This window comes from Homo sapiens, chromosome 19 (assembly GCF_000001405.40).
Source record: "Homo sapiens chromosome 19, GRCh38.p14 Primary Assembly".
In the NCBI taxonomy this organism is placed as follows: Eukaryota; Metazoa; Chordata; class Mammalia; order Primates; family Hominidae; genus Homo; species Homo sapiens.
In genome coordinates this window covers 35515506-35530425 of record NC_000019.10, presented here as the reverse complement: position 1 = coordinate 35530425, position 14920 = coordinate 35515506, and the positions used below count along the sequence as shown (strand labels likewise).

The following is a 14920-nucleotide window of genomic DNA, read 5'->3' as shown; positions in this document are numbered from 1 at the left end:
AATCACTTGAACCCGGGAGGCGGAGGTTGCAGTGAGCCGAGATCATGCCACTGCATGCCAGCCTGGGGGATAGAGTGAGACTCTCCCTCCAAAAACACAAAAAGAAGATGGAACACAGTTCAAAGTGGGAGAAATCCCACCTCTTGATCTCTGGGTGGGTTAGGATTCTGACACTCATCACCCACTCTTCTCTGCCCAGCCACCTCCTGGTATGGGAAACTCCATCATTTCGGCCCTGGACCAGGGCAGAAAAACCACACCTGAGTTTGCCCAGGAATTTGGCTTTGTCCCTGGAGTGTGAAACCGGGAAACAGATTTGATGAGCTCAAGCTTGGAGAGGTGGCACACTTAGTCACCCTCTATAGGCAGAGCCCAGAGAAGGCAGAAGCTTCTGGATATCTGTCCTGGGATGCCTGTCTTTGGGTGGAGTCAAGTGTCCAGGAGCTGGAGAGGAACCCCGGGTCCTCTGAGGGGAGTGGGCCTTGGCGCCTTTGTTTGAGCAAAGCCTGAAAACACGTGCAGATTCTCGCCACACCTGGGCACCCACACACATAGCTCTGCCACCTCCAGCTGCTCACACCCTGCACATTGTTCCTGCCTGGCCTTCCCACCAGCAATCCCACCTCCACCCCTCTCTCAGTCTCTCCCCTTGGCACCAAAACCCAAATATCTTTCACCCCTGCACCTACTGTACCCACCCACTGGCTCTCGTTCTGGTCTTAGCCTCCCTCCCAACTGGCTTCTAGATGCATCTGCTGCCCCAAGCCTGCCCACCACCACCTGCCCTTCCTTCCGATGCCCTTTTCATGCCTGAGGCCAGACTCTCAGCTGTTTCCCCTCCAACCCGAGCCAATATGTCAACACTTGGGGCTTCAGGTTGGGGCTTAGGAGGCCCCATGTCGGGAGGGCAGGAAGGATGAGGGCCTGGCCCCAGCCCAGGTTCTGGCTCACAGGCTCCTGCTGCCCTGGGTCTTCGGCCCCTCCCCGTGGCTGCCTCAACCGGCTTTTCAGGAGACACTGCGTCCTGTTCCAGCTCGTGGCAATCAGCCCCCTGCCCTTGCCCAAGGGCTGGGAGGCAGGAGGTCTGGGTTCTGCGACAGGAATGGGATCCTGCCTCCAAAATCTGCGGCACTCCACAAGGGACTCTATGCTGCCCTGGCGACCCAGGCGCCCTTCCCTCCAGCACCCTGTGAGACCCAGACTCGGGCTCGGAGTCTCTTTCCTTGGCCTGTTCGAATCCATCCATTTGTCCAGTCAATAAATATTTACTGAACCCCAGGCAGTGTTCAAGAAGCTAGGAATACAGCAGTGATCAACACGACCAATTTACATTGCTAGTAGGTGAGACAGGCAATAAAAAATAAAGGTAATTTCAGATTTTTTTTTTCTGTGAAAACAAAAGGGTGATACTACAGAGTATAATTAATGCCATGTTATGGTCAGGAGAGGTTTTCTTGCGAAGTTGGCATTTAAGTCAAGTACGGATGAGGAGGAGCCAGCCACGTGAAGATCTGGGTTCTGCATTCCAGGCAGAGAGAGGAGCATGTGCAAAGGCCCTGCAGCAGGAATGAGCTTGGTGTGTTTGTGGAACAGGGAGAAGGCCTGTGTGGCTGGAATGGAATGAGTGAGGGCAGGGGCTGGCCCACAAGAACGAGGTCTGATGACTCCTTCATCCCACCTAGTGTTCTCCCCTCTCCAGACGGTGCCTCCCATCATTCTAGCCCCTCACTGCCTGGGGAGCTGGAGGCTTAGATGCCTGAGAGGAGTGAGGTGTTGAAGAATTGCCTGCATCCCAGGGATGGAGCATGGTGGAAGGTGGGTTTGCGAGAGAGGAGGCCTGGACAGTGGGTGAGGAATGAAAGAGGAGGTGGTTGGAAGGGCAGACACCCATCTCTGGGGTGGAGGGCAAGGAGCAAAGATGCCAGAGTTCTTCTCCATCCATGACTCACCCTCTCTTCCTCCTCCTCTCCATTGCTCAACTCCAAATCTCCCTGGGAAACACCTCCTTGACTGAAGACCAACTCAGTGCCTCACAGGGGTAATTGAGTCATGAGGGGTGGAGAAGAGGGCGAGAGGGAGAGAGGATAAATAGCAGCGTGGCTTCCCTGGCTCCTCTCTGCATCCTTCCCGACCTTCCCAGCAATATGCATCTTGCACGTCTGGTCGGCTCCTGCTCCCTCCTTCTGCTACTGGGGGCCCTGTCTGGATGGGCGGCCAGCGATGACCCCATTGAGAAGGTCATTGAAGGGATCAACCGAGGGCTGAGCAATGCAGAGAGAGAGGTGGGCAAGGCCCTGGATGGCATCAACAGTGGAATCACGCATGCCGGAAGGGAAGTGGAGAAGGTTTTCAACGGACTTAGCAACATGGGGAGCCACACCGGCAAGGAGTTGGACAAAGGCGTCCAGGGGCTCAACCACGGCATGGACAAGGTTGCCCATGAGATCAACCATGGTATTGGACAAGCAGGAAAGGAAGCAGAGAAGCTTGGCCATGGGGTCAACAACGCTGCTGGACAGGTTGGGAAGGAGGCAGACAAACTGATCCATCATGGGGTCCATCACGGGGCCAACCAGGCGGGAAGTGAGGCAGGGAAGTTTGGCCAGGGAGTCGACAATGCTGCAGGGCAGGCTGGAAATGAGGCTGGGAGGTTTGGCCAGGGAGTCCACCATGCTGCAGGGCAGGCCGGAAATGAGGCTGGGAGGTTTGGCCAGGGAGTCCACCATGCTGCAGGGCAGGCCGGAAATGAGGCTGGGAGATTTGGCCAGGGGGCCCACCATGGTCTCAGTGAGGGCTGGAAGGAGACAGAGAAGTTTGGCCAGGGGATCCACCATGCTGCCGGTCAGGTTGGGAAGGAGGCAGAGAAGTTTGGCCAGGGGGCCCACCATGCTGCGGGGCAGGCCGGAAATGAGGCAGGGAGATTTGGCCAGGGGGTCCACCATGGTCTCAGTGAGGGCTGGAAGGAGACAGAGAAGTTTGGCCAGGGGGTCCACCATACTGCTGGTCAGGTTGGGAAGGAGGCAGAGAAGTTTGGCCAGGGGGCCCACCATGCTGCGGGGCAGGCCGGAAATGAGGCAGGGAGATTTGGCCAGGGGGCCCACCATGCTGCGGGGCAGGCCGGAAATGAGGCTGGGAGGTTTGGCCAGGGGGTCCACCATGGTCTCAGTGAGGGCTGGAAGGAGACAGAGAAGTTTGGCCAGGGGGTCCACCATGCTGCCAGTCAGTTTGGGAAGGAAACAGAGAAGCTCGGCCATGGGGTCCACCATGGGGTTAATGAGGCCTGGAAGGAAGCAGAGAAGTTTGGCCAGGGTGTCCACCATGCTGCCTCGCAGGTGGGGAAGGAGGAAGACAGAGTGGTCCAAGGCCTCCATCATGGCGTTAGTCAGGCTGGAAGGGAGGCGGGGCAGTTTGGCCACGACATTCACCACACAGCAGGGCAGGCTGGGAAAGAGGGAGACATAGCAGTTCATGGTGTCCAACCTGGGGTCCACGAGGCCGGGAAGGAGGCAGGGCAGTTTGGCCAGGGAGTTCACCATACCCTTGAACAGGCCGGGAAGGAAGCAGACAAAGCGGTCCAAGGGTTCCACACTGGGGTCCACCAGGCTGGGAAGGAAGCAGAGAAACTTGGCCAAGGGGTCAACCATGCTGCTGACCAGGCTGGAAAGGAAGTGGAGAAGCTTGGCCAAGGTGCCCACCATGCTGCTGGCCAGGCCGGGAAGGAGCTGCAGAATGCTCATAATGGGGTCAACCAAGCCAGCAAGGAGGCCAACCAGCTGCTGAATGTAGGTGAACAGGGATGGGGAGATGGGGGACAGGGGGGTTGGGGGAGGGAAAGGTTAAACCCCTGGGACATTTGGCGGGGCGGGGGGGTCCGCGTAGCCTTTGTTTGGTGAAAGAAGCTTGGGCAGCTATATCACTGGGTTCCTCCCCCTTCCCCATCTCCCTTACAAAGGAGCTGGTGGCAGCTGGTCAGATGGGGTGAGCCACCTTATCTGCAAAGCACGTATCAGACAGGGTGGCGGGCACCCTGTCCCACCTTCAGGGAGCTGCCCTCCTGGTTAAGGGGGCCTCAAGTGGGGCCCATGAAGCCCTTCCTGGGGAATGGGAAACAGTTCCTGAGATCAAGATCTAGTATAGTGCAAAGGGACTGAGTGTTGACAAAACCTGGTTAGGAGAGTGAGCATGAGGAATAGCTTTCGGAGATGAGCCTTGGCCTGTGTAATCTTTGTAACTACCCTCTGATGTGGTCAAGATGAGGCTGCTGACGCCCTGATTCTCAGATAAGGAAACAAAGGCTCAGAGAGGTTAGGGGACGTGCCAAAGTCCTGTGGCTAGTGCCCAGCTTTGGCAGAGGGCAGGCCAGGGTTCTCTTCCCCTGCACTGCCCAGCCAGGAGAGGTTTTCTGGAAGGTTTCTCTTACCCATTTATGTAGGGGGAACAGAGGCCAGGTTCAGTGGCTCATGCCTGTTAACCCCAGCACTTTGGGAGGCCGAGGCAGGTGGATCACTTGAGCTCAGGAGTTCAAGAGCAGCCTGGCCAACATGGTGAAACCCTATCTCTACTAAAAATACAAAAATTAGCCAGGTGTGGTGGCTGGCGCCTCTAATCCCAACTACTCAGAAGGCTGAGGCAGGAGAATCCCTTGAACCCGAGAAGCGGAGTTTGCAGTGAGCTGAGATTGCACCATTGCACTCCAGCCTGGGCAACAGAGTGAGACTCTGTCTCAAAAAAAATAATAATAAAATAAAATATGTAGAGGGAACAGAGACTGGAGGCAGGCAAATAGCACCACTCACAACAGAACAGGCACCAAGAAGGGAGCGTGGGGAGCAGGAGAGGGTGGACTCCTGTGCGCCCTCACTCTCCAGGCTCCATGAGGGGTCCTGGATCTGCAAGATGTGACTGGCTCAGACGTCGAAGTCCAGAGCCACATCTGCCGCCAGACAGAGCCAGGGATGGGTGGGTGGGGAGGAACGGCGCAGCAGAGGAGCGGGCACGGCAGGCTGCAGGGTGCCGCGAGCAGAGGACGGTGCACTGTAGGATTTGGGGCTGGCAACAGCAGCCGGGGTTGGGGGCACTGCTGGGGTGCATGGCTGAGTGTCTGGGGCTGGGTTAAGGACAAGGATCAGTGGAGTTAGGGATGCAGCTAGACAGGGCATAGAAGGGTAGATTTGAGGTCAGGGCTGAGGTTAAACTAGGTCCTGATATTGTTTGTCACGGGTCCTCTACCTTCCCTTTCCACCAGCCCCTCCTCCATGACTGAGAGCACTTCATTAAGGAAATTAAAAGGGGCTTTGGGGAGGAAAAGGCAGCAGGAGGCAGAATGCCCACGCGAGCACGGGCTTTGGGTTTTCTTCTGGACAGTGAGGAGGCAGTGGGTTAAGCTGTGCCTCCCACCGCAGCCCCAGTCACCCTGGAGGGGACCAGGTCCCTGGGGAAAAGGAACTGGGAGACCCTCCGCGTTTGTGGGGTTGTAACAAGAGTCTGGGCTTTGTCCACAGGGCAACCATCAAAGCGGATCTTCCAGCCATCAAGGAGGGGCCACAACCACGCCGTTAGCCTCTGGGGTAAGCGCGGACTCTGGGGTAGGGGAGAGGAGGCCCCTGGGAGTTCCCTAGCATGGCTGTGGGTCAGACGCTGGAGACTGACCTTCTTGTCCTTGAATTGCAGGCCTCGGTCAACACGCCTTTCATCAACCTTCCCGCCCTGTGGAGGGTGAGTGCCCCATGGTGTCTCTTTTCTGCTCTGCGTCCTGATAGATACGCTCACCCCGACCCCTTCCCGGTGTCTGTTTGGACAGCTCCCCGGGCGGGCAGACCTGCAGCCTCTGCAAAGACCCTCCAACCTGATACCCAGTCCTGGGCTTCCCTCTCTCCACCTGCTCCCTCCCCTTTGCACCCTGCCCTCATCTTTTGGGTGCCTTTCATTTCCACCAAGGCAAACACAAGCTGGCAGAAAAGACCTCCCAGGCCCTGGTGCCCCTGGGAGCCAGGGAGGGAGGAGGGGCTGCTGACTGTTCTCATTCCCTCTCTCTCCTTGTCATTCCTCGATTCCCATTTGCTGACTGGCTTCCCTCCTGTCCCAACCCTCCTGCAAATGCCTTTGCTTCATGCTGGGAGGGGGAGCCTGTGTCTTTGTCCTCTCCCTGGTGCAAGGTCACCCCAGTGCAGAGGCTCCTATGGAATCCTGGTTCCCAGTTGGGGCTCAAAGTAAACTCCTGACTCTCTTTCTTTATTTTAATTTATTGAGACGGAGTCTCACTCTATCTCCCAGGCTGGAGTGCAGTGGTGCAATCTCAGCTCGCTGCAACCTCCGTCTTCTGGGTTCAAGTGATTCTCCTATCTCAGTCTCCTGAGTGGCTGGGATTACAGGTGTGCGCCAACATGCCCAGCTAATTTTTGTATTTTTAGTAGAGACAGGGGTTTCACCATATTGGCCAGGCTGGTCTCGAACTCCTGATCTCAAGTGATCCCCTCCTTCCTCAGCCTCCCAAAGTGCTGGGATTACAGGCGTAAGCCACTGCACCCAGCCTCTTTTTGCACTTATTGTATCTGCTGCCCGAGACCTGGTGCAGGCCAGGGTGAGGGTGTATCACGGAGGAGGAAGGCCCACCCTTGTGTATCCCAGGCTATGGGGGCGGCAGAGCATCCTCTCAGGCTAAACACACGAGGCTTGTTGGTTCCTGCAGAGGCCCCAGCCCCTCTGCCTGTGGGGACTGGCTTCCTTGTGTTCTTAAGTTTAGATGCTACCTTCCTGAAACTTCCCCAGAACATAACTCCGGGGCCAGAGCAGCCAGTCCCCTTGTGCTTCTCCCGAGGGGCGGGGCTGAGGTCTCGGGTCCCGTCATGACTGTGGACCCTACATTCACCCCTGCTCTCCTTCTCTCTTCCAGAGCGTCGCCAACATCATGCCCTAAACTGGCATCCGGCCTTGCTGGGAGAATAATGTCGCCGTTGTCACATCAGCTGACATGACCTGGAGGGGTTGGGGGTGGGGGACAGGTTTCTGAAATCCCTGAAGGGGGTTGTACTGGGATTTGTGAATAAACTTGATACACTATGCTGTCTCATTGTGGTCCCCTGGGCTCCCTAAGGAGGGATGGACAGGGAGGCAGGAGGGCCTTGTCTTTTCTTGTTACTTTGCTGAAGGAGTCGGAGTGTCTGAGGCATAGGGTGGGTTGAGCTGGAGATTTCAGGCTGATTAGCTGTAAGAGGGCGGGTAATGGGGACAAACCACGCTTTGCTGGGGTGCAAAGTTCGTGCTGGCTACTGGCAGGAGGACTCGTGCAGGGAAAACCACTGCAGGCCACTCGTGGGGACAGACACACCGGGAGAGAATGGTCTGGGCCCAGGAGGTAGCATCCTCAGTCAAGGGGGTGGGGGGCGCCAAAATAATAACAACAATAACTTGTATTTATTGTGCAGTTAAGACCTGCCAGGCTGCCTGCCAGGTGCGTTACCTGCATGACATCATTGACTCCTCCCAACCCCCCAGTTAGGTGAAAGGGACTGTTATTGCCCCATTTTATAGAGAAGCACGTGGGCGCTTGCACACATTAAGAAACATGACCAAGTTTACACAGTCAGTAAGTGGAAGGAGAGAAACAGTGAAGAGCTACAAAGGATATTCTGGAAAAACAGAGGTCTTTGCCCTTTGGCGTCAGCAGAGAAGGAGAATTGGTGAATAAGAAAAGTGAGACACGGGATGGGGCTGGGGATCCTCTCAGGGGAAAGAGGGAGAAGGATGGAAGGCTCAGGTGGAAGACATGCTGGTGACAGGAGCCACCTGAGTAGGGGCACAGAAGGCCCCATTTTCAGATCTGTGGACCATTCAAAGCCCAGAGGAACAATGATTACAATTACTGAGCATAGAGCACTTGCTAGACTCAAGGTACCGTGTCCAGAGTTGTTCATATTCTTTTTTTTTTTTTTTTTTTTTTTTTTTTTGAGACAGAATCTTGCTCTTTCGCCCAGGCCAGAGTGCAGAGATGCGATCATGGCTCACTGCTGCCTCGACCTCCTGGGCTCAAGAAATCCTCCCACCTCAGCCTCTTGAGTAGCTGGAATTACTACAGGTACGCGCCACCACACTTGGCTCATCAAATTTTCTTTTTCTTTCTTTTTTTTTTTTAAGAGATGGGGTCTCACTATATTGCCCAGGCTGTTCTCAAACTCCTGGGCTCAAGGGATTCTCCCACCTCAGCCTCTTGAGTAGCTGGAACTACAGGCACACACCACCACACTTGGCTAATTAAAAATTATTTTTTTGGCCGGGCACAGTGGCTCATGCCTGTAATCCCAGTACTTTGGGAGGCCGAGGCTGGCAGATCATGAGGTCAGGAGTTCGAGACTAGCCTGACCAACATGGTGAAACCCTGTCTCTACTAAAAATACCAAAAAAGAAATTAGCTGGGTGTGGTGGCGCGTGCCTGTAATCCCAGCTGCTCAGGAGGTTGAGGCAGGAGAATCACTTGAACCTGGGAAGTGGAGGTTACAGTGAGCCGAGATTGCACCTCTGCACTCCAGCCTGGGTGACAGGGTGAGACCCTGTCTCAAAAAAAAATTTTTTTTTTCTTTTTTTGGTAGAGACAGGGCCTCACTATATTGCCCACGCTGTTCTCAAACTCCTGGGCTCAAGGGATTCTCCTGCCTCGGCCTCCCAAAGTGGTGGGATTACAGGCATGAGCCACTTCATCTGGCCTGTTCATGTTCTTTAACTCTTTAAGTCTCCCACAACCCAAAGGCAGAAGCCCTGTTATCGTCACCGTTGTATGGATGAGGATGCTGCGGCTCAGTGGGACAAGGGCGCCCACAGAGAAAGCAGCAGGCCTGGGTCTGGCTCCGTCTGTCGCCAGCACCTGACTTCTCGTGGTTCCCGGTGAAGTCTCTGTAACACTCCCAGGCACTAGCCTGGGTGCTGGGAGACTTGCGTTCCAATCGGGAGCAAGATGCCTGAAGGCCGCCTACTTCCCCTCTAGGGGCCACGATTTCCTCCTGTATAAAGGGAGGCAGGGATTCGACAACTGTTGCTTCCAGCTACAAAATTCCATCAATGGGGGACTGAAAATAATAGACAGTGTTCTTGCCCTTGGGGAATTCACAGCCTTCCTGGGAGGCAAGGCCTATAAACAGAATGTGAATGCAAACACACAAAGCCACGCATCAATAAGAGCTCAATGACCGGCAAGGGGAGGGGCCTGCATTTGTGCAAAAAATGGGACGTTCCTCACTTTATAGTCACTGCATTTTCCCTTATTTTGTGGAATACCATCATTTCATTACATATGCTCCTTCCCTCCCCCTGCGATATTTTATTTTGAAAACATTTCAAGCATCATGAAAAGATGAAAGAATTTTATAGTGAACACCAGAATTCTCACCACTTAGATTTTACCATACTTGCTTGGTCACACATCTGTCCATTTAGCCCCATATCAAACATTTTTGATGTATTTCAAAGTAAACTGTAAACATTATATTTGCTGCATTTTGTCTTATTTATTTTTTGAGACAGAGTCTTGGTCTATCGTTCAGGCTGGAGTGCAGTGGCACAGTCATGGCTAACTGCAGCCTCAATCTCCTGGGCTCAAGCAATCCTCCCACCTCAGCCTCCCAAGTAGCTGGGACTACAAGCACACACCACCATGCCTGGCTAATTTTGTAATTTTTTTTTGTAGAGACGAGGGTCTCATAATGTTGCCCAGGCTGGTCTTGAAATCCTGAGCTCAAGCAATCCTCCTGCCTCAGGCTCCCAAAGTGCTAGGAATACAGGTGTGAGCCACAGCACCCAGCTGCTTGCTGCACTGATATAAATAGAACCTTCCATTCATGTCAGATACTGATTGAGGGTCTGCTCCGTGCTGGACATCATCTCACAGGTATTGGGGGAGGCCCTACTTAAAAGAATCCTATAGTGGCGGCTTTCGAAAAGGCAACATTCAAGGGACTCTTTCTTTCTTGAAGTAAAAGCTTTCATTGACTTTATTTTTATTTAAAAAAATATACATATATGTGTGTGTATATATATACGTGTATATATATGTATATATGTGTATGTATATATATATATTGAGACAGAGTCTTGCTTTTTCATCCAGGCTGGATTGCAGTGGGGTGATATCGGCTCACTGCAACCTCTGCTTCCCAGGCTCAAGCAATTCTCCTGCCTCAGCCTCCCTTACAGGTGCGCGCCACCACACCCAGCTAATTTTTGTATTTTCAGTAGAGACGGGGTTTCACCATGTTGGTCAGGCTGGTCTTGAACTCCTGACTTCAGTTGATTCGCCCGCCTTGGCCTCCCAAAGTATTGGGATTACAGGCGTGAGCCACCGCGCCTGGCCATCACCCGGCTGACTGACTATTTTTTAGGCACATTTTCTTGCTGGGTTTGCTTGGATGGGGGTCCTGAAAATACCAAAGAGATACAAGATAATTGATAGGCACTGAGTCAGTCCTGGGAAGCTTCTGAAAAAGGAGAGCTTTGAGTCGGTTTTGAGGGTAAAAGACGCCTGGCTCTCTCCTGCCTGGAGGTCTTCTGTGCTGTTCCCTCTACTAGGAACACTCTCCATGCCCCTCGGCCCCTCATACTGGCTCTTCCCTACCCTTTGCATCTCAGCTACCTTGACCGCTCAACCTGAGCTACGGCCACCCTGTCACTCTCTCTCATAGCGCTGATCTTGTTTTTCTTGTTGGTTATGACAATCTGTAATCATATTACAAATATCGTATCCATTTCCCCCCAGACAAAGAGGTTCAAGCAGTGATGTCAAGGCCAGGCATGAATGTCTGGCAAGGAGCAGAAGGGAAGCCACTGACTTGAGCAGGTTGGGAAGGGCCATGGAACGAGTGTGAGCAAGACACAGGCTGCTTTGCCTGAGATGGGTGGAGCCAGGCTAGGGAGAAACACAGAGAGGAAGGGCCGGTTTCTGAGGATGTTGAAGAACAGGGAGAGGAGTTTGGGTGTGGCTCTCACCGGGCATCTTTTACAGGGTCTGTGCTAAGCACTTACAGGCATGATTCATTTCATCCCCACAACCATCCGGGAGGCAAGTACCATGATCATTGCCCTCACAGATGTTGAAGAAGAGGTGCACGGAACGGAGCGTGTTGCCTGAGGCCACCCTGCTAGTCAGTGGTGATGGCCAGGCTCCAGTTCAAGGGCACTTCCCTGCTGAACATCTCTAGCAGTGAGGTGGCATGCTGCCCTTGCGACCCCCAGGAAGCGGGAGGGGGCTACATCCAAATGAGTGGGTTTTTTTTTTTTTTTTTTTGACAGAGTCTTGTTCTGTTGCCCAGGCTGGAGTGCAGTGGTGCGATCTTGGCTCACTGCAACCTCCGAACCCCGGGTTCAGGAGATTCTCCTGCCTCAGCCTCCTAAGTAGCTGGGATTACAGGCGCACACCACGCCTGGCTAATTTTTGTATTTTTAGTAGCCATGAGGTTTCACCATGTTGGCCAGGCTGGTCTCGAACTCCTGACTTTAGGTGATCTGCCTGCCTTGGCCTCCCAAAGTGCTGGGATTACAGGTGAGAGCTACCCTCTCCTGGCTCCAAATGAGTGTTCTTTAAAAGTAAGTTTCTGCATCTGGCATTTTTTTTTTAATTGAGGCAGGGTCTCACCCTGTTGTCCAGGCTGGAGTGCAGTGGCGTAATCATGGCTCACTGCAACCTCAGCCTCCTGGATTCAAGTGATCCGTGTGCCTCAGCTTCCCAAGTGGCTGGGACTATGGGCACACGTCACTACACCCTGGCAATTTTTGTATTTTTTGTAGAGACAGGGTCTCACGATGTTGCCCAGCTTGGTCGGGAACTCTTGGGCTCAAGCAATCTTCCCTCCTTGGCCTCCCACGGTTTTGGGATTACAGGCATGAGCCATGCATCTGGCATTTTCAGGATGTGTGCATGTGTGTGTCACAAGATTAAACAACTGCCAAGAAAGCATTCCAGCCACAGCAATGTGACCAGCACTGCCGAGAACATATATTGAGTGCTTCTGAGTGGCAGACACTTCTCTAAGCAATTTACATGTATTACTTCACTTAATCCTCACATTCACCCCTCTTTACAGATGAGAAAACTGTTGCACAGATGGGTTAAGATCATGGTTAGTAAGCGGTGGAGCTAGGGTTTGAATGTAGGCTCTGGGATAGGCACCGTGGAAGAGGTAAGACTGTAGGTGCCAGTTTGAGATCTGGGACCCCCCAGAAGGGAGCAGAGACATCACCCACCCCCAAAGCCTCATCTTCCCACTAGACTGAGTCCAGCCTCCAATCTCCCTCCTCCCTGGTCTCTCTACTCCACAACCCCCAACAATCAGTTCCCTAGGGGAACTCTGTTAGCACCCGTGGCAGCCCAGAACCCTTGGCTGGTTCTACCTCATTCAGAGTAAAAATAAAAGTCAAAGTTGGCCAGGTGTGGTGGCTGACGCCTGTAATCCCAGCACTTTGGGAGGCCTAGGCGGGTGGATCACTTGAGGTCAGGAGTTCCAGACCAGCCTAGACAACATGGTGAAACCCCGTTTCTACTAAAAATACAAAAATTAGCCAGGCGTGGTGGCAGGCGCCTATAATCCCAGCTACTCGGGAGGCTAAGGCAGGAGAATCACTTGTACGCTGGAGGCGGAGGTTGTGGTGAGCCGAGATTGCGCCATTGACCTTCAGCCTGAGCGACAGAGCAAGACCCAGTCTCAAAAAAAAAAAAAAAAAAAAAAGCCAGTCTTCATAATAGTCCGCAAGACCCCAGGATCTTTCCCTCTTTGACTTTAGCTTCTCCCATCCCAACACTGCTCCAGCCACAATGGTTCTCAAATACAGTAGGCAGGCTCCTGCCTCCAGGCCTTTGCATGGCTGTTCCCCCTGCTTGGAATCCACTAGCCCCAGCTAATCCCCATGGCTCACTCTTCCACTCCCTGCAGGGGTCAGCTCACAGGCCACATCTCAAAGAGCCTTTCCCGAGTACCCTATTTAAAACACCTCTCTGTCACCTATTGCCTAACTTCCCCCACCATGAATGTAAGTTCTGCAAGGAGAATGCTTTTTTTGAGACAAGGTCTCACTCTGTCACCCAGACTGGAGTGCAGTGGTGTGGTCATAGCAGCCTCAACCTCCAGAGCTCAAGCGATCCTCTCACCTCAGCCTCTGGAGTAGCTAGAACTACAGGTGTGCACCACCACATCCAACTACTTTTTCAAAAACATTTTTTATAGTTGGGGTCTCTCTGTGTTGCCCAGGCTGGTCTCGAACTTTTGACCTCAAGTGATCCACTTGCCTCGGCCTCCCAAAGTGCTGGGCTTGCAGGCATGAGCTGGGATTATGAGGTGTCACTCAGCTGGAGAATGGTTTCTAGGCTGTATCCCCAGTGTCTGGAATAGGCGTGTCACGGAGCAGGTAGTCATAAATATTTGCTGAATGAATGATGTGAATTAGAGAGAAGAGCTGAGACCAGAGGGCCTTGGACATGACATAGGCATATCAGATTTGTGGGTGCCATCACGCATAAGAACATGGGTGGCATGGTGATGGAGGAGAGAAAGCTGTTTGGAGTCAGACTGACCTGGCTCAAGTTTTTTTTTGTTGTTGTTGTTGTTTTGAGACGGAGTTTCGCTCTGTTGTCCAGGCTGGAGTGCAATGGTGCAATCTCGGCTCACTGCAACCTCCACTTTCCAGGTTCAAACAATTTTCCTGCTTCAGCCTCCTGAGTAGCTGGGATTATAGGTGCCTGTCACCACGTTCGGCTAATTTTTGTATTTTTAGTAGAGAGGGGGTTTTCACCATGTTGGCCAGACTGGTCTTGAACTCCTGACCTCAGATGATCCACCTGCCTTAGCCTCCCAAAGTGCCTGGCTCAAGTTTTGACAACTCTATTTTACCACAGTCTTTTCACATATGATTTTGTGTGTGATGCTGAGCCACTTGGGCCTCAGTTACCTCATCTGTATAATGGGAATAATATTAACCTCTTGTGGTCATATTGAGGATTCAATGAGATCATGTATGTGAAAGCACCTAATATTTTATTTGGTTCACACTAGTTATTTAATAAGGATGCCCTAGGGCTGATCTGAGGTGGCTCCTCAGGCCCAGCGATGTCTGAGGGGCAATTTTTTCCTAGCAGGTAGAACACAGGCCTGTTGGTGGCATGGGAGAATTGAGGTGATCCATGGACACGGCTTTGAATAACTGAATCACACAGGGAGAAACTTACTTTCTTCTCAATTTTCTTTTAAGCTCTCTGACTATGTTAAAGAGAAAGACTTCATTTTAGTTTTTGAAAAAATTTATTATTAGTGTTATTTTCTTGAGGCCTGGACCTACCTTTGAGAAAGACCCCATGTCCAGCTGTGCTGGTGAGTCAGAACACCTCTTTCATACTTGCTAATCTTCCTTCTTAACAAAAAGGGCACATGGCCGGGCGTGGTGGCTCATGCCTGTAATCCCAGCGCTTTGGGAGGCCAAGGCAGGCAGATCACTTGAGGTCAGGAGTTCGAGACCAGCTTGTCCAACATGGTCAAACTCCGTCTCTACTAAAAATACAAAAATTAACTGGGCATGGTGGTGTGCATCTGCAATCCCAGCTATTTGGGAGGCTGAGGAAGGAGAATTGCTTGAACTCTGGAGGTGGAGGTTGCAGTGAGCCGAGATTGCGCCATTGCACTCCAGCCTGGGCAACAGAGGGAGACTCCATCTCGAAACAAAACAAACAAACAAACAAAAAACAAAGAGAGTGCAGGAGCTGCAGCAAGCATAATGTAATACCACTGTTTGCTCATGCCTGTCATCCCAGCACTTTGGGAGGCTAAGGCAGGAGGATCGTATGAGCCCAGGGGTTTGAGATCAGCCTGGGCAACACAACAAGATCTCATCTCCACAAAAATAAAAATTAAAAAATTAGCTGGAGGCTAGGTGCGGTGGCTCACGCCTGTAA

At 52.6% G+C, this 14920-nt stretch overlaps 1 protein-coding gene across 6 annotated transcripts, besides 3 other annotated features; it reads left to right on the top strand.

Annotated features, from left to right (window-relative positions):
• Window positions 964-1464: an enhancer, noted in NCBI's record as "H3K4me1 hESC enhancer chr19:36019864-36020364 (GRCh37/hg19 assembly coordinates)". NCBI's record gives its function as "activates a minimal SCP1, AML or CMV promoter by ChIP-STARR-seq in naive and primed H9 embryonic stem cells {active_cell/tissue: H9 hESC(naive and primed)}" and the evidence as "EXISTENCE:reporter gene assay evidence [ECO:0000049][PMID:30033119]".
• SBSN (suprabasin) lies at window positions 2115-7059 on the top strand. 6 transcript variants are annotated; one of them, NM_198538.4, is made up of 5 exons: window positions 2115-2519; window positions 3549-3782; window positions 5502-5567; window positions 5671-5715; window positions 6893-7059. In NM_198538.4, the coding sequence occupies exons 1-5, from the start codon at window positions 2145-2147 to the stop codon at window positions 6914-6916; spliced, it is 744 nt and encodes a 247-aa protein (NP_940940.1). In that variant the 5' UTR covers window positions 2115-2144; the 3' UTR covers window positions 6917-7059. The 6 variants fall into 6 exon arrangements, with proteins under 6 accessions (NP_940940.1, XP_011525232.1, XP_011525233.1 ...); XM_011526930.3 differs by having other exon boundaries at window positions 2115-2704; window positions 2759-3782; XM_011526931.3 differs by having other exon boundaries at window positions 2115-2933; window positions 3042-3782.
• Window positions 2910-3411: an enhancer, noted in NCBI's record as "H3K4me1 hESC enhancer chr19:36017917-36018418 (GRCh37/hg19 assembly coordinates)". NCBI's record gives its function as "activates a minimal SCP1, AML or CMV promoter by ChIP-STARR-seq in primed H9 embryonic stem cells {active_cell/tissue: H9 hESC(primed)}" and the evidence as "EXISTENCE:reporter gene assay evidence [ECO:0000049][PMID:30033119]".
• Window positions 4533-5205: an enhancer, noted in NCBI's record as "H3K4me1 hESC enhancer chr19:36016123-36016795 (GRCh37/hg19 assembly coordinates)". NCBI's record gives its function as "activates a minimal SCP1, AML or CMV promoter by ChIP-STARR-seq in primed H9 embryonic stem cells {active_cell/tissue: H9 hESC(primed)}" and the evidence as "EXISTENCE:reporter gene assay evidence [ECO:0000049][PMID:30033119]".
• Window positions 7060-14920: the final 7861 nt, after the last annotated feature.

Coding starts and splice junctions, on each gene's coding strand:
- SBSN (NM_001166034.2), top strand. CDS start 2,145: ATGCATCTTGCACGTCTGGTCGGCTCCTGCTCCCTCCTTCTGCTACTG. Junction 3,783..5,501: donor AGGCCAACCAGCTGCTGAAT/GTAGGTGAACAG, acceptor CTTTGTCCACAG/GGCAACCATCAAAGCGGATC. Junction 5,716..6,892: donor ACCTTCCCGCCCTGTGGAGG/GTGAGTGCCCCA, acceptor TCTCTCTTCCAG/AGCGTCGCCAACATCATGCC.